This window comes from Homo sapiens, chromosome 7 (genome assembly GCF_000001405.40).
Source record: "Homo sapiens chromosome 7, GRCh38.p14 Primary Assembly".
NCBI classification, from domain to species: domain Eukaryota; kingdom Metazoa; phylum Chordata; class Mammalia; order Primates; family Hominidae; genus Homo; species Homo sapiens.
Genome location: NC_000007.14, coordinates 4,637,528 through 4,659,039, shown reverse-complemented (window position 1 = coordinate 4,659,039; position 21,512 = coordinate 4,637,528). Strand labels below are relative to the sequence as shown.

General features: G+C 48.6%; 4 annotated features.

Annotated features, from left to right (window-relative positions):
* Nucleotides 16,731-17,120: a silencer, noted in NCBI's record as "silent region_17897". NCBI's record gives its function as "represses an Ori minimal core promoter by ATAC-STARR-seq in GM12878 lymphoblastoid cells {active_cell/tissue: GM12878}" and the evidence as "EXISTENCE:reporter gene assay evidence [ECO:0000049][PMID:35858748]".
* Nucleotides 17,221-17,420: a silencer, noted in NCBI's record as "silent region_17896". NCBI's record gives its function as "represses an Ori minimal core promoter by ATAC-STARR-seq in GM12878 lymphoblastoid cells {active_cell/tissue: GM12878}" and the evidence as "EXISTENCE:reporter gene assay evidence [ECO:0000049][PMID:35858748]".
* Nucleotides 19,956-20,075: a silencer, noted in NCBI's record as "silent region_17895". NCBI's record gives its function as "represses an Ori minimal core promoter by ATAC-STARR-seq in GM12878 lymphoblastoid cells {active_cell/tissue: GM12878}" and the evidence as "EXISTENCE:reporter gene assay evidence [ECO:0000049][PMID:35858748]".
* Nucleotides 20,086-20,135: a silencer, noted in NCBI's record as "silent region_17894". NCBI's record gives its function as "represses an Ori minimal core promoter by ATAC-STARR-seq in GM12878 lymphoblastoid cells {active_cell/tissue: GM12878}" and the evidence as "EXISTENCE:reporter gene assay evidence [ECO:0000049][PMID:35858748]".

Sequence of the window (21,512 nt, the reverse complement as noted above, 5' to 3'; positions counted from 1 at the left end):
ATTTCCAATGCTTTGCAGTACTCCATTACAGAAATATCCCATTCTTCAAGGGTCCCCAATCCCCACGCCCCGGACCGGGAATCAGGCCACACAGCAGGAGGTAAGAGGCAGACTAGCAAGTGAAGCTTCATCTGTATTTACAGCTGCTCCCCCTCACTCACATTACTACCTGAGCTCCGCCTCCTGTCAGATCAGCGGCAGTATCAGATTCTCATAGGAGGGTGAACCCTATTGCAAACTGCACATTCGAGAGATCCAGGTTGCACAACTCCTCATGAGAATCTAATGCCTGATGATCTCCCATCACCCCCAGATGGGACTGTCTCGTTGCAGGAAAACAAGTGCCTACTGATTCTGCATTATGATGAGTTGTATAATTATTTCATTCTATATTACAGTGTAATAATAATAGAAGTAAGGTGCACAATAAATGGAATGTGCTTGAATCATCCCAAAACCATCCCCCCCACTCTGGTCTGTGGAAAAATTGTCTTCCATGAAACTGGTCCCTGGTACCAAAAAGGTTGGGGACCACTGCCATACTTTATTCATTCAACTGGTGTTGGACATTTTCAGTTGTTACTCCATTAGCAGGTCTTGTGTGTATATCTGGGTGGTGTGCATGTTTCTCAAAGTGTGATCCTCACACCAGCAGCATCAGCATCACCTAGGAACTTGTCAGAAATACACATTCTCAGGTCCCACCCCTGATCCACTGATTCAAACTCTGGGAGGGGAGCTTAAAGTCTTCCATGAGATTCTGATGCAGGCTAAGGTTTGAGAATGATTGTTCTAGGTTTTGAGTCTAGAAGCAGATTTGCTGAGTCATAGGATATGCAAAGTTCAAATGTTTTAGGTAATGCCAAACTATTTTCCAAAGCGATTGCACCAATCTACACTCCCACCTGTAGTGTCTAAGAGTTCCCATTGCTTTACATCTTTGTTATCACTTGGCTTTAAAATTTCTGCCAGCCTAAAGAGTATAAATGTATCTCACTACTGTTTTAATAGGCACTTGAATGACGTCTAATGAGATTGAGTGCCTTTTCAAATGTTTATTGGCCATTTGGACTGCCCCCCTTTGTGAATACAAGGAACTTCAATGGACTACAAAAGTCAATCATCAAGAAAGCATATGGGAGAAAAGGAATATTAGAGCACTGTTCCCGTTTCTGTTACATCTCATTTAAGAAATGATATTTCTATTTTGTGAAGTGCCTATTCCAGTCTTTTGCCCATTTTCTAATAGGGTCATCTGTTTTGTCCTTATTGGTTTGAAGTTCTTTGAACAGTAGGAAAATTACTGGTCCTGGTTGGCTATATGTGTTGCAGGTATCTCCTACTACTCTCGGTGACTGGTCTTTTGATTTTCATTTTCTTTTTGTGGCTGTACATTGATGAACATCTTCTTAATTTTAATTCAGTCAAATATATCACTATTTTCCTTTGAGATTAATGTTTTTAATAACTTGTTTAATGGCTGGGCATGGTGGCTCATGCCTGTAATCTCAAAACTTTGGGAGACCGAGGCAAGAGGATCACTTGAGCCCAGGAGTTTGAGACCAAACTGGGCAACATAGTGGGACCCCATCTCTTAAAAAAATGAAAAAAATTAGCCGGGCTTGGTGGCACCCACCTGTAGCCTCAGCTACTCAGGGAGGCTGAGTTAGGAGGATTGCTTGAGCCTGAGAGATTGAGGCTCACTGCAACCTCTACCTCCCGGGCTCAAGCAATGCTCCCACCTCTGCCTCCCAAGTAGCTGGTATTACAGGTGTGCACCACCACACCTGGCTAATTTTTTTTGGATTTTTTTGGTAGAGATGGGGGTTTTGCCATGTTGCCCAGGCTGGTCTTGAACTCCTGGGCTCAAGCAATCTACCCACCTCAGCCTCTCAAAGTGCTGGGATTACAAGCATGAGCCCAAATTCTCTCTCTCTCTTTTTTTTTTTTTGAGACGGAGTCTTGCTCTGTCGCCAGGCTGGAGTGCAGTGGCGTGATCTCGGCTCACTGCAACTTCTGTCTCCCAGGGTCAAGCGATCCTCCTGCCTCAGCCTCCTGAGTAGCTGGGATTACAGGTGCACGCCACCACATCCAGCTAATTTTTTGTGTTTTTGGTAGAGACAGGGTTTCACCATATTGGCCAGGATGGTATCAATCTCTTGACCTCATGATCTGCCTGCCTCGGCCTCCCAAAGTGCTGGGGTTATAGGCGTGAGCCACTGTGCCCGGCCAAGGATTCCATTTCTTTCTGCCATTCATCCCCTCTATCCTGGTACGTTGGCTCTGATTATTTCAAGATGGCTGCAGGGACTGCAGGCCTTCCATCCACAATGCAGGATCCAGATACCATTTTTGCTTTATTCATCTCTTTTTAGGAACAAACACCCTTTTTTTCAGGTGCTCCTCTCCCCTAGCATGTTTCCCCTAGTCTCACTTGCCACAGTGACATCATGTGTCCATGCTTGGACCCAATTCCTGGAGAGGTGTCTGGGATCACCTTGCTTTTCTTGGCTCTGCCATGATTCTCTCTTAGGAACTGGGGTTCATCTCCCCTGAAGCTGATGGAAAATGAGTATCTGGACAAAATCTGGGTTCTCTGGATAGGAAAAGGGGGAAGGGACGGATAGGTAGGCAACCAAAAGGTATGTGCTGCAGCAGGACAGAGACAGAACTCTGGGGACCAGCAGTATGCGAGGGACAGATAGAAGGAGAGATTTGCACACCTGCAAGTTGAAGCAAAAACAGGGAACCATGAATCTTGAAGGTGTTATTCTTTCCAGTACATTTGTTCAATGTAATGTTTTGGGAAATTGCCAATGGTACCAATGTCCACTTGGTAATTGAGAAGGCCAGGTAGTTTCACTGTGGCCCTGTCCTGAAATCATTTCACAGCAGATTGCTCTGCAGCTCAGCCCTGCTGAAGGGGACCAGTGAGAAAAAGGCCTCATTAGAAATGACTGTTACCAAGCAACAAGCTAGCATCTCAAGAATTGCATACAAGGAACTTAAATGGACTACAAAAGTCAATCGTCAGAAAAAGGTAGCATCTGGGAGAAAAGGATATTAGAGCGTTGTTCCCGTTTCTGTTACATCTCGTTTAAAAAATGATATTTCTCTCAATTAGAACTGCAGCATGCATTCATTGTAGGGAATTAGGAAATATATACATAAAAGAAACAAATCTTATGCCTAACCTTACAGCTGGCTATTTTCAGCTTTTCTTCCTTTTTTTTTCTTTCACTTTATGTGGTATTTCCCCATGTTCTTAAAAATTCTTAGTTGACAGAATTAATTTTTTTTTTTTAATAGACAAGGGCTCGCTCTGTCACCTTGTCTGGCAGGATCATGGCTCACTTGCAGCCTCAATTTTGTGGGCTCAAGTGATCCTCTGGCCTCAGCCTCCTGAGGAATTGGGACACAGGTGTGCATCACCATGCCTGGTTAATTTTTTTATTCTTTGTAGGGACAGGGCCTTGCTATCTTGCCCAGACTTGTTTCAAACTCCTGGCCTCAAATGATCCTCCTGCCTTGGGCCCCACACCCCCACCCCCCTGCAAAGTGTTGGGATTACAGGTGTGAGTCACTGCACCGGGCCAACATCATTTTAAATAACTGTATAGTACATGCATTAATCAAGTACTCTGCAAAACACTACAAATTTGTGCTTTGGGAGGAATACCGAAGGGGAAAAAGAGAACAAAGCCTCCCAAAGTGCTGGGATTGCAGGTGTGAGCCACTGTACCCAGCCCTCAGCTGATCTGTAAAAAAATGCCAGTAAAGATTGGAAAGTTTCATATTTTGCTTTATGGTCTGCAGCACAAATCAATGAACAGGATCTTACAAAAAAAAAAAAATTCACATAGGCCGGGTGCGATGGCTCACGCCTGTAATCCCAGCACTTTGGGAGGCCGAGGCAGGCGGATCACCTGAGGTTGGGAGTTCGAGACCAGCCTGACCAACATGGAGAAACCCCTCTCTACTAAAAATACCAAATTAGCCGGGCATGATGGTGGGTGCCTGTAATCCCAGCTACTCGGGAGGCTGAGGTGGGAGAATGGCTTGAACCCAGAAGGCGGAGGTTGCGGTGAGCCGAGATCGCACCCTTGCACTCCAGTCTGGGCGACAAGAACAAAACTCCGCCTCAAAAAAAAAAGAAAAAAAGAAAAAAAAAAAAACTCAGAGATGTTTCTCTTGCTCCATCCTCAACACAGGCTTTTGTTTTCCCCAGAGTGAAGGAGACATTAGAAGAATGCTAAACCTTTGCCTCACTATTCTTATTTGTTGAACTTTGAAGTTAGGCAAAGGTTTAGCATTTTTCTAATGTCTTCTTCACTCTGGGGAAAACAAAAGCCTGTGTGGAGGATGGAGCAAGAGAAACATCTCTGAATTTTTTTTTTTTTGAGACGGGGTTTTGCTCTTGTCGCCCAGGCTGGAGTGCAATGGCGCGATCTCAGCTCACAGCAACCTCCGCTTCCCGGGTTCAAGCGATTCTCCTGCCTCAGCCTCCCAAGTAGCTGGGATTACAGGCATGCGCCACCACGCCTGGCTAATTTTGTATTTTTAGTAGAGATGGGGTTTCTCCACGTTGGTCAGACTGGTCTCGAACTCCCGACCTCAGGTGATCCACCTGCCTCGGCCTCCCAAAGTGCTGGGATTACAGGCGTGAGCCACCGCGCCCGGCATATCTGAATTTTTTTTTTTTGTAAAATCCTGTGCATTGATTTGTGCTGCAAACCATAAAGCAAAATATGAAATTTTCCAATCATTACTGGCATTAAAAAAAAATCAGCTGAGGGCTGGGTACAGTGGCTCACACCTGCAATCCCAGCATTTTGGAAGTCCAAGGCTGGAGGATCAATTGAGGCCAGGAGTTTGGGACCAGCCTGTGAAACATAGTGAGACTCCATCTCTACAAAAAAATAAAAAACTTAGCCGAGCATGGTGGTATGCACCTGTGGTCTGAGCTACTTGGGAAGCTGAGGTGGGAGGATTGCTTGAGGCCAGGAGTTCCAGGTTGCAGTGAGCTATGATCGTGCTGCCACACTCCAGCCTGGACAAAAGAGCGAGACTCTGTCTAAAACAAACAAAAACAAACCAGAAAGATCAGCTGAGAGTTCTTTGAATTCTTCCTGACAAATAACAGCGTAGACCCACAGGTGTACTGTAAATTTTTCACTTTTGTAGGTCTAATCCTTAGGCAGCACCGTAAAGGCATTACTATAATCATCTCTCTAATTAGAGTGTCTTTTTTTTTTTTTTTTTTAGTTAAAAAAAAAATCTCACAATAGTAGAAGTGGTTTTGACAACCATGGTAAGATTTCCCTCTGTGATCTGATCACAGCACATGGCGGGCTAGACTATCCATGCACCTGTGATGGTTAATTTCATGTATTAACTTGTCTGAGCTAAGGGCTACTCAGGTAACTAGTAAAACATTATTTCTGGGTGTGTCTGTGAGGGTGTTTTCAGGAGTGATTAGCATTTGAATCAGTAGGTCTGATTAAAGAAGACCCCTCCTCTGCAGGCGCGGTGGCTCACGCCTGTAATCCCAGCACTTTGGGAGGCCGAGGTGGGCGGATCACGAGGTCAAGAGATCGAGACCATCCTGGCCAACATGGTAAAACCCCGTCTCTACTGAAAATTTGAAAATTAGCTGGGTGTGGTGGCACACGCCTGTAGTCCCAGCTACTCGGGAGGCTGAGGCAGGAGAATCGCTTGATCCCGGGACGCAGAGGTTGTGGTGAGCCGAGATGGCTCCACTGCACTACAGCATGGTGACAGAGTGAGACTCAGTCTCAAAAACAAAAAAAAAAAAAAAAAAAAAGAAGATCCGTCCTCACCAGTGTGGATGTGGATGGGCATCGTTCAATTCCTTGAGGGCCCAGATAGAGCAAACAGGTGGAGCAACAGCAAACTTGGCACTCTCTGGGCAGAGACATCCACCTTTGCTGGCCCTTGGACATTGGTGCTCCTGGTTCTCAGGCCTTCTGACTCAGACTGGGATTTGCACCACTGCTTTCCTGGGCCACCACCTTGCAGATGGCCGACTGCAGGTCTTCACGACCTCCATGATCATGGGAGCCAATCTCGCATGATAAATCCTTTTCTCGCTGGGCACTGTGGCTCACGCCTTGTAATTCCAGCACTTTTGGGAGGCTGAGGGGGGAGGATCTCTTGAGCGAGGGAGTTTGAGGCCAGCCTGGGGCAACATAGCAAGACCACCATCTCTACAAAAAAATAAAAAAAAAAATTAGCCAGGCATGGTGGTGCACACCTGTAGTCCCAGCTGCTAAGGGGGCTGAGGTAGGAGGATTGCTTGAGCCCAGGAGTTTGAGGCTGCTGTGAGCTGTGATTGCACCACTGCCCTCCAGCCTGGGCAACAGAGTGATCCCGTCTCTAAAAATAAGTAAATAAATGAAAATACAAAGGAAATTTGGACATAGAAACAGATACGCATATAGGGAAGATGACATGAAAAGACAGGGAGAAGATGGCCTTGTAAAGGTAAAGGATGGAAGGATCCAAGGATTGAAGAAATGATGCATCTGTGGGCCAAGAAACGCCCATGGCTGCCAGGAGCTGGGACAGAGGCCTGAAACAGATTCCTCCCAAGGGCCGTGAGGGGAATCGTGGCCCTGCTAACACCGTGATTTCAGAATTCAGGCCTGCAGAACCGTGAGAGAACAAACATCTGTTGTTTCAAGCCAAAAATGAAACAAAAGCAGAAGAACACAGAATGAGAAGTAAAGGAAGGGAGGAAAGGAATGAGCAGGAGGGAGGGAAGGAGACAGCAAAGTGTCATCAAGTAAGTTATGAAAGAAAACTTGGTTGCAGCTGGGTGTGGTGGCTCACGCCTGTAATCACAGTACTTTGGGAGGCTGAGGTGGGAGGATTACTTGAAGCCAAGAGTTTGAGAGCAGCTTGGGCAACATAGCGAGACACTGTCTCTATCTATTAACAAAACAAAACAAAACAAAACAAACAAACAAAAAAACTTTAGGCTGGGTCCGGTGGCTCATGCCTATAATCCCAACACTTTGGGAGGCTGAGGTTGGGGGAATCACTTGAGGTCGGGAGTTCAAGACCAGCCTGACTAACACGGTGAAACCCCATTTCTACTAAAAATACAAAAAATTAGCTGCGTGTGGTGGCCCGTGCCTGTAATCCCAGCTACCCAGGAGACTGAGGCAGGAGAATCACTTGAACCCTGGAGGCGGAGGTTGCAGTGAGCTGAGATCACGCCATTGCACTCCAGCCTGGGCAACAGAGCAAGACTCCATCTCAAGAAAAAAAAAAAAAGGAAAATTAGTTGGGCATGGTGGCATGCACCCGTAGTCCCAGTTACTTGGGAGGCTGAGGTGGGAGAATTGCTTGAACCTAGGAGTTTGAGCTGTGATCATGCCAGTGATCGTGCTCTTCAGTCTGGGCAACAGAGTGAGACTCTGTCTCAAAAAAAAAAAAAAAAATTAGGGAGCTGTTTCTCAGTAACAGACAAACGCACACCCAGGAGCAGCAGGCCTGGTCCCCAGGGGCTGTGAGGCCTTATCAGGGGAAAAGATTGCTTGGTGTTTTAGTCTGTTTAAAAAGAGAGGCCACACTTCATATTTATGGGTTAATGAATAATGCAGGATCAGTTATTGGTTAATGCAGAACAGCAACATCAGGTTAAAAAAAAAGAGAAACCAAGAAGTTGTGATTCAAGGTTATGTCTAAGGAGGAAAGAAAATGGAGGTTTTGTTTTTTTTCTACCCTGCTCCTAGTGAATGTCTACTAAAAAAAAAATCATTTGATCGGGTCTTTGCAGTTTCTAAAATAAAACAAGGGAGGGGCTGCAGGAAGGCGAGACCTCTCGCTCACCCACCCTGCTCCCTGCACGGAGCTCTTTGGGGTCCCCAGTGGAATTGGTCACGTTCCAACCTCCCCTCCTCAATGCACCCAGGCAGGCTTTTCTTGTGTGTTAAGCTGGTGAGAGGCGCCAGGGGAATCTTTCTGCTCAGGCCTCTGCAAACCTCATCCTGCTTAGAAAAGAGGTTTTGTTTGACTCCTTTTTGGGCCTCTGAGGCGCCAGGGGGAGTGATTAATAGAGAACCACCTCGAGATTTCAATAGAGCAGCAGCATCAGCTCCCAGGGCCAGCCGGGCCTTTGTTCCGCAGAAAACGGCGATAAAGCCTCACGGGCTGCCTGCTGCAATCCAGTCCTCATCCGGCCCCGTTTCATCCCTGCCAGGCCAACCTCATGACCTAAGCCGGCCTGGGAAGATCCGTCTGCCTGCACACGGGGCAGCATGAACAGCAGGGGCCTCCCTCCTTGGCAGAGCGCTTGGGGCTGGAGTGGGGGCCCAGAGGCCCTTGGTTTCTTTTGTGAAATTCTGCAGATGAGAGCAAATGTGCAATGGCAGGGCCGTGATGTTTTGGCTTCCAGGGAAGGGGGACGGGACAGGAGACTCTGAGGCTGGGGTGGTGGAGAGAAGATGCGGGTTTGTGAACGGGAAGATGGCTTTTGGTTAGCCTTGACTGAGCTTTGAGCAGGCTCTGTGGGCCTCTTAATATCACAGCAGAAGCGAGGGGGAGCTCTGGAAGTGAGAGGAGGGTGACAAGGTACAGCAGAGTTAAAGAGGGAGGAAGGCAGCGGTCAGCAGGCCCAGGCCTGGAAACCCTCGCTGGTGTGGATCTCATGCTGGCTTGGTGCTTCCTTGGCTTGCGTTTGTCCCGGAGGTTGGATGGCGGGAATGATCATGTTGTTTTGGTCGCATTAGACTGAGGATCAAATCAGGGTGCTTCTCTTTCTCAGAGCCCAGGTGCCTTTCCTTCATTCATTTAACAATCACTGGAGGCCAAGCACAATGGCTCCTGCCTGTAATCCCAATGCTTTAGAAGGTTGAGGTGGGAGGATCACTTGAGGCCAGGAGTTCAAGACCAGCCTGGGCAACACAGGGAGACTCCCCCCCACCCCAATCTCTACAAAAATTTTTTAAAAAATGGCCGGGTGCGGTGGCTCACACCTGTAATCCCAGCACTTCGGGAGACTGAGGTGGGTGGATCACGAGGTCAAGAGATCGAGACCATCCCGGCCAACATGGTGAAACCCCGTCTCTATTAAAAATACAAAAAGTAGCCAGGCGTGATGGTGCGTGCCTGTAATCCCAGCTACTTGGGAGGCTGAGGCAGAAGAATTGCTTGAACCCAGGAGGCGGAGGTTGCGGTGAGCCCAGATCACACCACTGCACTCTAACCTGGCGACAGAGCGAGACTCTGTCTCCCAAAAAAATAAAAATAAAATAAAATAAAAAATAAAAATCCCAGCTACACAGGAGGCTGAGGCAGGAGAATCACTTGAAACCAGGAGGCAGAGGCGGAGGTGGAGGTTGCAGTGAGCCAAGATTGCACCATTGCACTCCAGCCTGGGCAACAAGAGTGAAATGCCATCTCAAAAATAAAAAAAAAAAAGAAAAAATTTTTTAAAATATAGCTGGTGATGTGCACCTGTAGTCTCAGCTACTTGGGAGGCTGAGGTTCAAGGATTGCTTGAACCCAGGAGGTCGAGGCTGCAGTGAGCCATGATCACACCACCACACTCCAGCCTGGGCAGCAGAGCAAGACCCTGTCTCTAAAAAAAGAAATAGTAAGAACAATTGCTTGCTGAGTGCCTGTCTATGATGGTAGCATCTGATGCAAATTAAAAAGTCAGATGCTCAGCAGGACTTATGGAGCCTTTGCTCAGCTCCAAATATATCATTAGTTACAATATGGAGAGCAAGTAACATGGCTAACAGCAATTTCACACCAGCACATAACTGTTTCATGACAAGTTATCAGAGGCAGTAGCATTCAGCAGTTCATGTGGAGGACTGCCTCAGTCAGCCTGGGCTACTATAACAAAAATACCATAGACTGGACAGCCTAACCATTAAAAAATTTTTTTGAGACATGGTCTCACTCTATCACCCAGGCTGGAGTGCCGTGGCATGATCATAGCTCACTGCAGCCTCCATCTCCCAGGCTCAAATGATCCTCCCGCCTCAGCCTCCTGAGTAGCTGGGACTGTAGGCACAAGCAACCACACCCAGCTAATTTTTTCTATCTATCTTTTTTTTTTTTTTTTTTTTTTGTAGAGAAGGGGTCTTTTTGCTCAGGCTGGTCTTGAACTCCTGGGCTCAAGTGATCCTCCCACCTTGGTCTCCCAAAGTGCTGGGAATCCAGGCAGGAGCTCAAACATTTATTTCTCACGGTTCTGCAGTTAGGAAGTCCAAGATCTGATGTCCAGTGGGCCCCACTTCCTGGTTTGCAGACAGCTCCTTTCTTGCTGGGTCCTCACATGGCTGAGAGGGGAGAGCGAGTTCTTTGGTGCTTTGTCTTATCAGGGAACTAATACAATGATCTACTAGTGGGGGGAACTAATGCCATCATGAAGGCAACTGCAGGAGCCCACAGGGAGCCTCCGTGGCGTTTGGCTGTGATCAAATGCCAGCTGCTGTGCCACTCTCACCTTGCCCAACTCCAGGGGGACACCAGATCCAATGTCAATCGTCCCTTATCCCGTCCCCACAGTGGAGAGCCCTGGTGGAAGGGATGCAAGTTTAGTTCATCAAGTACCAGAAAACCCAACTGAAAACGGTCCAAACAATGCTGAAATGTTTCTGTCCATATCATCACTGGGATCTGGATGTTGGAGCAGTTTTGAGGTGAGTTGACCTGGGGCTCCAGCTCCCTCCATGGACGGTGGGGTCTGTGCTGCTCTCCTGCAGAAGCAGGCTCCGCATCGCCCCACGCTGTCCATAGGTCATCCTCTCCCATGGTGTCCAGAGAGGGAAAGGCCATCTCTTCCCACAGATGCCTCTTGGAAGATAGGAACCCTTTTCTGGAATCTCTGACCATAGGCCCCTGCAAATTGGATGCCTGGTCCTCCTCAAATGGCTCAGGGAATGGCGGATATTGACTGACTTTGACTCTTTTTTTTTTGAAGACAGAGTCTTGCTCTGTTGCCCAGGCTGGAGTGCAGTGGCACGACCTAGGCTTACTGCAACCTCTGCCTCCTGGGTTCAGGCAAGTCTCATGCCTCAGCCTCCCAAGTAGCTGGGATTACAGGTGCATGCCAACATGCCCAGCTAATTTTTGTATTATTAGTACAGACGGGGTTTCACCATGTTTGCCAGGCTGGTCTCAAACTCCTGGCCTCAAGCAATCTGCCCATCTTGGCCTCCCAAAGTGCTGGGATTACAGGCATGAGCCACCACGCCAGGCCTGACTTTGATTCTTGAACCACTCACTGGCAAAGGGACGGGCTCATCACCCATGGTGTAGAAATATCCAGGTCCACCAGAAGCTGGAGTCAGCCCCTGCCCCTGATGGCCCCATAGTGGATGAAGGCTACAGTGAAAATAATTGGCTCACCAAATCGTGACAGCTATTCCATGAGTCAGGTACTATCATCATCTCATTTTAAAGATAAGCGGATAGAGGGTCATGGAGACACATAGATAGTTAGGAAGTGTCGGAGCTGAGGTCACAACTCAGGCACTAGATTCTAGCTCCCAACTTCACAACCATTTCAGTCCCAAGGCCGTGGAGATGGAGTTGGGACAGTAAGCTCTTTAGGGGCAAACAAGCCCACCAAAACCCACCAGTTCTTTCCCCATTGTTAGACCATCTGAGGGCACTCTTGCCAACATGCTGGTACAGTTCTCTGCCCTTTTTAATGTTTCTGTTTTGTCTCTTAACCTTTAAAAATTGGGAAATGGGCTGGGTGCAGTGACTCATGCCTGTAATCCCAGCACTTTGGGAGGCTGAAGCAGGTTGATTGCTTGATGTCAGGAGTTCAAGACCAGCCTGACCAACATAATGAAACCCTCTCTCCACTAAAAATACAAAAATTAGCCAGGTGTGGTGGTGGGTGCCTGTAATTCCAGCTACTCCGGAGGCTGAGGCAGGAGAATCACTTGAACCTGGGAGGCGGAGGTTGCAGTGAGATGAGATCATGCCATTGCACTCCACCCTGGGCGACAGAGTAAGACTCTGTCTCAAAAAAAAAAAAAAAAAAAAGGGAAATGTAATACACATACAGAAAGGTGCATCCATATGTTGAATAATTATGTATTTGTTTGCTATTCCTGTGTAACAAATGACCACAGGTTCAGCAGCTTAAACCAACATCTATCTAGCACCACATGGTCTCCCTGGGGCAGGAGTCTGGGCACAGCTCAGCTGGGTCCTCTGCTCAGAGCCTCTCATGGCTGTAATCCAGGGTGAGTTGGGCTGCATTCTCATCCGGAGGCTCAACTGGGCAAGAATCCTCTCCCAAGGTCACTCAGCCTGCTGGCAGCACGCATTTCCTTGTGGCCATATGACTGATGGCCTCAGCTTCTTTCTGGCCTTCTGCTGGAGGCCACCCTCAGGTCCTGGAGGCTACTCATAGTCCCCTGCCATGGGGTCCTCTCCAGGGACTGTTCACAACATGCTGTTTGCTTCTGCAAGGCCAGCAGGAGCGTCTCTGTCTCCAGTGGACCAAGATGGGGTCTCCTATAATGTCATGTGATCATGGGAGCGATGGGAATAGGAGCCCCTTGCCCCTTCCATATAACATAACCAGATCTGAGCAATGGCACCTGCCCCCTCTGCCATGTTCCACTGGTTAGAAGCCCATCACAAGCCCTGCACACGCTCAAGGGAGGGGGTGATACAGGGGTGTGGCTCCTTGGGGGAGGTCACTTTCAGGTGTATCTAAGGGTGACCCATGCTAAGAAATGGAACTCTGTCTACCATCCCCAAAGCCCATCTCCACTTACAGATAAGACTAATGCTGAGTTGGAGCTGTTCACGAGAGCCGATTGTTGAACTTTCAGGATTTCGGTTAATTGGCTGTTAAACACAGTCATTATTAAAAATTAAATTACATTAAGCTGGCCACAGTGGCTCACACTTGTAATCTCAGCACTTTGGGAGGCTGAGGCGGGTGGATCACTTGAGCTCAGGAGTTTGCGAGCAGCCTGGGTGACATGGCAAAACCTCATTTCTACAAAAATACAAAAATTAGCCAGGCATAGTGGTGCATGCCTGTACTCTCAGCTACTAGGGAGGCTGAGGCAGGAGAACTGCTTGAACCCAGGAGGTGGAGGTTGCAATAAGCCGAGATCATGCCACTGCACTCCAGCCTGGGCAACAGAGAGAGATTTCATCTCAAAAAAAAAAAAAAAAAAATTACCCTACATTAAACTTGCAGTGAAATAAATTCTATTGAAAGGGTCTCAACACTTATCATGTTCTAATTATTTTACTGTAATCTATGCTTTTAAGGTTACTCTACTCCATCTGTATACTGGAAATTATCTTCCCAACTCCAAGTTCAGATACTCCGCATTGGTTCAGATACTCCACTTTGCAGCTTGCAACAACTATTGCAGAGATATTTACACTGTGAAAATCTGAAAATGCTACAATTCAGGGCTTGGAGGCAAAATCTGGCTCTTGCTTGAGCTAAAAAATTTTTTTTTACATTGTTAAAGGGTGGTTAAAACAAAACAAAGCAAAACAAAAGAGACTGTGCCAAAGACTGTACGTGTCTGGAAAAGTGGAAAATACTTACCATCTGACTCTGCAGAATCCATTTGCCAAACCCTAGACATAAGTAATACAGAAAATTAACAATGTGGTTAAACTTCAAATTCTGTGATGTCTGCAGCCATTATATTGTGAATAGCACAAAATGTTGAGGAACTATTCACCCAGTAATAGAAAACCATGCTCCAATACAGCAAAGAAGTTGCTGACATCATTGAGGAACAAATAAAGTTCGGATCTATATGTGTTTTGCTTCATTTCTTACTTGTTAATATAAGTGAAAATATCAACACTCCTGTCAAACATTACATTTATTTTACTTTTTTTTTTTTTTGAGACAGGGTCTCACTGTTGCCCAGGATGAAGCACAGTGGTGTGATCATGGCTCACCACAGCCTCCAACTCCTGGGCTCAAGCAATCCTTCAGCCTCAGCATCCCAAATAGCTGAGACCACAGGTGCATGCTACCATGCTTTGCCAATTGTTTTATTTTTTGTAGAGACAGGATCTTGCTATGTTGCCCAGGCTGGTCTCAAACTCCTGGGCTTGGCCGGGTGTGATGGCTCATGCCTGTAATCCCAGCACTTTGGGAGGCTGAGGCGGGAGGATCACCTGAGGTCGGGAGTTTGAGACCAGCCTGACCAACATGGAGAAACCCCTTCTCTACTAAAAATACAAAATTACCTGGGCGTGGTGGCGCATGCCTGTAATCCCAGCCACTTGGGAGGCTGAGGCAGGAGAATTGCTTGAATCCAAGAGGCAGAGGTTGCGGTGTGCCGAGATCACATCTGCACTCCTGCCTGGGCAATAAGAGCGAAACTCCGTTTCAAAACAAACAAACAAACAAAAACAAGAACAACAAAAACTCCTGGGCTCAAGTGACCCTCCTGCCTTGGCTTCCCATACAATCTCAAAGTGCTGGGATTGTAGGCATGAGCCACCCCACCAAACCAAACATTATTTACTGGGAAAATGGTGGGTTGGGTAGCAACTCAACCCTGCATATTACAATTCAGTTTCAAGCACAGGTTGGCTATGGACACGGGAGTTCAGCAATGCTAAAGGAAAGCATTCTCTGAGAATCAACTGACTATGGAATTTACAAACAAAAAGAGCATTGTGTGTTTTATCATTATTTGCAATTGATACGATACACACGCTTCATACCAGTAACATTTATAATAAATGTGTGTGTATATATGCAGTCCTTCCCAAGCCGATTGTTAAACATGTACCATCAGCCTGACCATTAGGATATGTACTTCCTGGCTTTGCTTTATAATGTAACCACGTTTAGATTTTCCGTTGACCTAAATAGAGGTTACCCAGGCACCTCAGAGTCCAGAGCAGTATCTGGCACATAGTAGGTATTTACAATCATGCAATAAGCCAACCATCCACGCCATATATGATAGTGGTCCTCTAAGATTATAATACCGTAAGATTATAATACTATATCTTTACGTTTTTTTTTTTTGAGATGGAGTCTCACTCTGTTGCCCAGGCTGGAGTGCAGTGGCGTGATCTCAGCTCACTGCAAGCTCCGCCTCCTGGGTTCATGCCATTCTCCTGCCTCAGCCTCCCGAGTAGCTGGGACTACAGGCGCCCGCCACCACGCCCGGCTATTTTTTTTGTATTTTTAGTAGAGACGGGGGTTTCACCGTGTTAGCCAGGATGGTCTCGATCTCCTGACCTCGTGATCCGCCAGCCTCGGCCTCCCAAAGTGCTGGGATTACAGGCGTGAGCCACCGCGCCCGGCCTACCTTCTCTTTTCTACGTTTAGATACGTAAATACTTACCATTGTGTTACAATTGCTCATAGTATTCAGCACATTAACATGCTGTTAAAGGTTTGTAGCTTAAGAGCAACAGGCTGTACCATCCAGGTTTGTGGAATTACACACTATGATGTTCACACAAGGATGAAATTGCCTAACAATGTATTTCTCAGAAGGTATCCCCTTTCCCAAGCGATGCATGACTGTATTTAAGATGCGCTGGCAGCGGTGGCTCAGACCTGTAATCCGAGCACTTTGGGAGGCTGAGGTGGGAGGATTGCTTGAGGCCAGGCGTTTGAAACCAGCCTGCGCAATACAGTGAGACTCGTTTCTACAAAAATAAAAAATAAAATAATAAAGGATATTGCTGAGCTGGGTGTGGTGACTCATGCCTGTAATCTCAGCACTTTGGGAGGCTAAGGTGGGAGGATTACTTGAAGCCAGGAGTTCGAAACCAGCCTGGGTAACATGGCAAAACCCTGTCTCCTATAAAGTACATTAATACAAAAATTAGCTGGGCATGGAGGCTCGCGCCTGTAATCCCGGCTACTCGGGAGACTGAAGCAGGAGAATCACTTGACCCCGGAGGCTGAGGCTGCAGTGAGTCATGGCTGTGCCACTGCACTCGAGCCTGGGCAACAGAGTAAGACCCTGTCTCAAGAAAAAAAAAATGTCCCTGGAGTAGATAACTTGAGGAACACTAATTTTACCGAAACAACCGACAATGGCAATGCAATTCTGAGCCTTTGCTATAAAATGGCAGAAAAAGTCAGGAGGAAGTTTGCGTATGTTATTTTTCCCTGCCACTTGCTTTTTAGTCTTTGCAAACCTTTCTCAAATCCTTTTAGAACACGGTATGACATTTCTTTCTGTTTTTAAGCAACAACTATAAGAACTACCACTGACTGAGTGCTTAGGTAACGCCCAATATATTTCACGTAGAATCTCATCAACAGGCCGGGCACCATGGCTCACGCCTGTAATCCTAGCACTTCAGGAGGCTGAGGCGGACGGATGGATTGAGCCCAGGAGTTTGAGACCAGCCTGGGTAACATAGGGAGACCCCTCTTCTCCAAAAAACAACAAACTCTCATAAATCTGTAAGAGGTGACATAGTAAAAACTCTGAAACAACACTCTTTTAATATTTTATCAATTTCCTCCCCATTCGTTTATTTATTTATGCAGCCACTGACCCAGGCATGGTCATCCCTGCTGGGGGCGGACACAGCCCGCGCCCCCAGGTTCGAGGACACCCAATGTTTAGAAAACGGACCCTGCGAATCCCACCGGCCCCACGTGGACTCTCGGAGGCTCCCTCCTCCCTTTGGAGCATTGAAGAACGCGCACAAATCCAGCTTCCACCCGTCACTCGCGCACCCGACATTGGGCAGGCGACCCCACCGCCCCGGAACATCCCGGCGCAGCCGTCGCGAGGAGGCAACCGACCCCGCCGCGCCACCGGAAGGCGCCTCGCGGCGAGTTGTGCGCACGCGCAATGTGCAACGCCGCGCCGCCAGCGGGCGCTGCGGCCAGGCTCGCGTGGTGGGGGAGGGGAGCTGCCGCGCCGGGGCCGGACCACGTGCGCACCACGTGGCGCCCCGGCAGCCCCGGTGCGCAGTAGGGCGGTCCGGCTGGCCACGCTGCGCAGCCAGCAGTCCCCGAGGGTGGCGGGGCCGGTCTCACAGCCGGCGACCCCGCGCCCGCTGACCTCTGACCTCCGACCCCACTCCCCTTAGGGTTACCCCTCGCCGGCAGCCGCGCCGTGTGTTTATAAACAGAGCTCCCGGCGGGCCCCAAAGCCCGGATCGGCGGATTCACGCGAGGGGAACGGAGCCTTCCGCAAGTCTGCGCCGGCCGCGCATGCGCCTTAAGGTTGCGCCACGCTGCTCCTCCTGCGCTTGCGCAGTGGCGGCGCAGGGCGGGCCGCGAGCAGGGCCCGGGGCGGGGCCGGGCTCTGTGGCCGGGCAGGGGAGGGGCGCGGAGAGGCGCCCTCGCCCTTCCCAGCCCTGCTCCTCGCCTTGCGGAGGGTTCACCTGCTGCGTGTCCTTGCGCAGGCCGGCCACTGGCCTCTGAGCCCGGGCTCTCGCCTGCAAAGTGGGGCCTCTGTGGGTGGTCGTGGAGGTGCAGTGGTGACCTGGATGGAGGGCGGCATCGGGCCCCGCAGTGCCCCCTTGGGCAGCTGCACCCAGCAGCTAAGAGGCCCCCTCGAGACACATCAGTCCTAGGGAGGAGCATACCATGCAGTACGATTTAGCCTTAAAATGGGTGGAGTGCAGTTTATGTTGTGTATATCTATATATCTCTAATTTAAAATTTTTACTTTTATTTTTCAGACAGGGTCTTGTTCTGTTGCCCAGGCTGGAGTGCAATGGTGGCATTACAGCTCACTGCAGTCTCCACCTCCCGGACTCAGGCGTTCCTCCTACCTCAGCCTCCCAAATAGCTGAGACCACAGGCAGGCATCACCACACCCAGCTAATTTTTTTTTTCTTTTTTGAGACGCAGTCTTGCTTTGTTGCCCAGGCTGGAGTGCAGTGGTACGATCTCGGCTGACTGCAGCCTCTGCCTCACGGGTTCAAGCGATTCTCCTGCCTCAGCCTCCTGAGGAGCTAGGATTACAGGCGTGCACTAACACGCCCAGCTAATTTTTTTGTATTTTTAGTAGAGACGGGGTTTCACCATGTTGGCCAGGCTAATCTCGAACTTCTGACCTCAGGTGATCTGCCTGCCTCGGCCTCCCAAAGTGCTGGGATTATAGGCGTAAGCCACCGTGCCTGGCTATGTTTTTTTCTATTTTTGGCAGAGATTAGGTCTTGCTATGTTGCCCAGGCTGGTCTTGAACACCTGGGCTTAAGCGATCTTCTCACCTTAGCCTCCCAAAGTTTTGGGATTACAGATGTGAGCCACCTTGCCTGACCTATATTTTTAATTTAAAAATTTTTAATTGTTAATTTTTATGGGTACATAGTAGGTGTATAGATTTATGGGACACATGAGATCTTTGTATTATAATTACATTAGGGTAAATGGGGTTTCCATCACCCCCAGCATTCATCATTTCTGTGTGATGAACATTCCAATTGCACTCTCTTGGTTATTCTAAAATGTACAGCAAATTAGTGCTGACTGTGGTCACCCTGCTGTGCTAGAAAATTCTAGATCTTACTTATGTATCTAACTATATTTTTGTACCCAGCAACCATCCCCTTTTCCTAGTCCCCCCCACTACCCTAATGTTTTGTATATTTTATCACAACTTTATTTTATTATTATTATTTTTTGAGACAGAGTTTCGCTGTGTTGCCCAGGCTGAAGTGCAGTGGCCTGATCTCAGCTCACTGCAACCTCTGCCCCCTGGGTTCAAGCGATTCCCATGTCTCAGCGTCCCAAGGAGCTGGATTACAGGCCACGCGAGGCTAATTTTGGTATTTTTAGTAGAGACAGGGTTTCACCATCTTGGCCAGGCTGGTCTTGAACTCCTGACTTCAGGTGATCCACCTGCTTTGGCCTCCCAAAGTGCTGGGATTACAGGCATGATCACAATTTTAAAAAGGAAGGAGATTCTGACACACACTTCAACATGGATGAACCTTGAGGACATGGTGCTGAGTGAAATAAGCCAGACACAGAAGGACAGACCACGCATGATTCTGCTTATATGGGGTTCCTAGAGCCATCAGATTCATAGGTACAGAAAGTAGAATGGTGCTTACCAGAGGCTGCGGGCTGAGGGAGAGGGGTGTGAGTGTTTGATAGGGACAGAGTTTGAGTTTGGGAAGATGAAAGAGTTCTGGAGATGGGTGGTGGTGATCACACAACAGTGTGGATGTGCTTAATGCCCCTGAACTGCACGCTTGAAAATGGTTAAGCTTGGCCGGGTGCGGTGGCTCACGCCTGTAATCCCAGCACTTTGGGAGGCCAAGGAGGGTGGATCACCTGAGGTCAGGAGTTCGAGACCAGCCTGGGCAACATGATGAAACCTCGTTTCTACTAAAAATACAAAAATTAGCTGGGCGTGGTGGCAGGTGCCTGTAGTCCCAGCTACTCGGGAGGCTGAGGCAGGAGAATGGCGTGAACCCGAGAGGCGGAGGTTGCAGTGAGCCGAGATCGCGCCACTGTACTCCAGCCTGGGCGACAGAGCGAGACTCCATCTCAAAAAAAATTTAAAAAAAAGGTTAAGCTTTTAAATTCTATGCTAAGCCTATTTTACCACTCGCGGTGCAGATCAGATCACATTCTGTCTGTCCCGTGGCCATATCCTCTCTGTGATCCAAGAGGCTCAGCCCTGCTCCCCGATGGGTCTCGCCCCTGCCCGTGTCATCATCTTGAACCCCTCCGGCCCCACCTGGCTGCCTTTCTGACCTCAAACACCCTGCCTCAGGGCTGCTCTGATGTTCTCTGGTGGAAATGCTGCTTCTTATCTTCTCATGAGCATGTCCCCCTGGTGTATTTGTTCGTTTCATAAACGTGCATCCTTCGAGCTGGGGAACTAGCTCAAATGGTAGAGCCCTCGTTTAGCATAAACAGGCATCCTTGCTTGGTAGATGCCAAGCATTATAAAAGGAGCAGGGGAGACGCAAGTGATGAAAATGGGTAAGGACTCCCCTCTCGTGGACCTTATATTCCTGCAGAGGATGTGGTCAGTAAACACAAACAAAACCATCAGGTGGTTGGCGGTAAGCATTGGTGGTTAGGAAAATACCATGATCTGGATCAGGTGATCCTGAAGAACTCTCTGGCGTGGCCCTTTGACCTGAGGCCTCTTTGACAAGGAGATAGCAATGGGGAGATTGGGAGGGATCAAAAGGGACTTTCCAGGGACAGAGAAAAGCAAGTGCAAAAAGCCCTGAGGCCAGGACTATTTTGGTGGAATAGAAAGACCAGACCAGGTAGTGGGAGCACATGAGTAAGGGGTGAGGGGGAGTTTTTTTTTTTTTTTTTTTGAGACCAAGCCTTACTCTGTTGCCCATGCTGGAGTGCAGTGGCGCGATCTCGGCTCACTGCAACCTCCACCTCCAGGGTTCAAGCAATTCTCCTGCCTCAGCCTCCAGAGTAGATGGGACTATAGGCGCGTGCCACCACGCCCCGATAATTTTTTGCATTTCTAGTAGATACAGGGTTTCACCGTGTTGGCCAGGCTGGTCTCGATCTCCTGACCTCGTGATCTGCCTGCCTCGGCTTCCCAAAGTGCTGGGATTACAGGCGTGAGCCACTGCGCCTGGCCAAGGGGGAGTTTTAAGGTAAAGAAGAAGGCAGAGGCTGGCACGCTGGCTCATGCCTGTAATCTCAGCATTTTGGGAGGCTGAGGTAGGAGGATTGCTTGAGCCCAGGGGTTTGAGGCTGCAGTGAGCTAGGACCTCCAGCCTGGGTGACTGCACTCCAGCGTGGGTGATAGAGCAAGACCTTGTCTCAAAAAAAAAAAGTTTGTTTATATCACATCTCGTTTCTTTTTTTCTTCTCTCTTTTTTTGGCGGGCACAGAGTCTCACTCTGTGGCCCAGGCTGGAGTGCAGTGGCATGATCTCAGCTCACTGCAACCGCATTCTGGGTTTAAGCCATCCTCCCGCCTCAGCCTCCCTTGTAGCTGGGACTACAGGTGAACACCACCACGCCCAGCTAATTTGTGTGTGTGTGTGTGTGTGTGTGTGTGTGTGTGTGTTTAGTAGAGATGGGGTTTCACCACGTTGGCCAGGCTGGTCTCGAACTCCTGACCCAGGTGATCCACCCACCTCGGCCTCCCAAAGTGCTGGGATTACAGGCAATGAGCCACCACGCCTGGCCTCACATCTCATTTCTAAAAGTTGCTAAACAGGCCCATAGCAATGGATAGCAAAGAGTGTCAGAATGAAACACAATAACTGGGTGTGAGAATGGAGGTTGGAGACTAAAGGGAAATAAGAATAAAAATAAAGAGGCAACTTTATGATGACCGTGGTCTGGGGGAAGCAGAGGCGCTGTTGCTTGGCAGTGAGGATACTGCCGTGGGGTACAGCCTGGGGACGGGGTAGCCACACCCTCTGGCGGCATCCCCCTTCCCTCAGTGGCACCAATGGTTGATTTTAGAATGAAGACCCTTGGAAAATAGACCTGCACAGAGTTCACAGTGGTCTTCACCGCTGGCCAGCAGGGTTGGGAGGCCTGGCCAGGACTGTAGGTCCTGAAGACCCCCAGGTAAAATT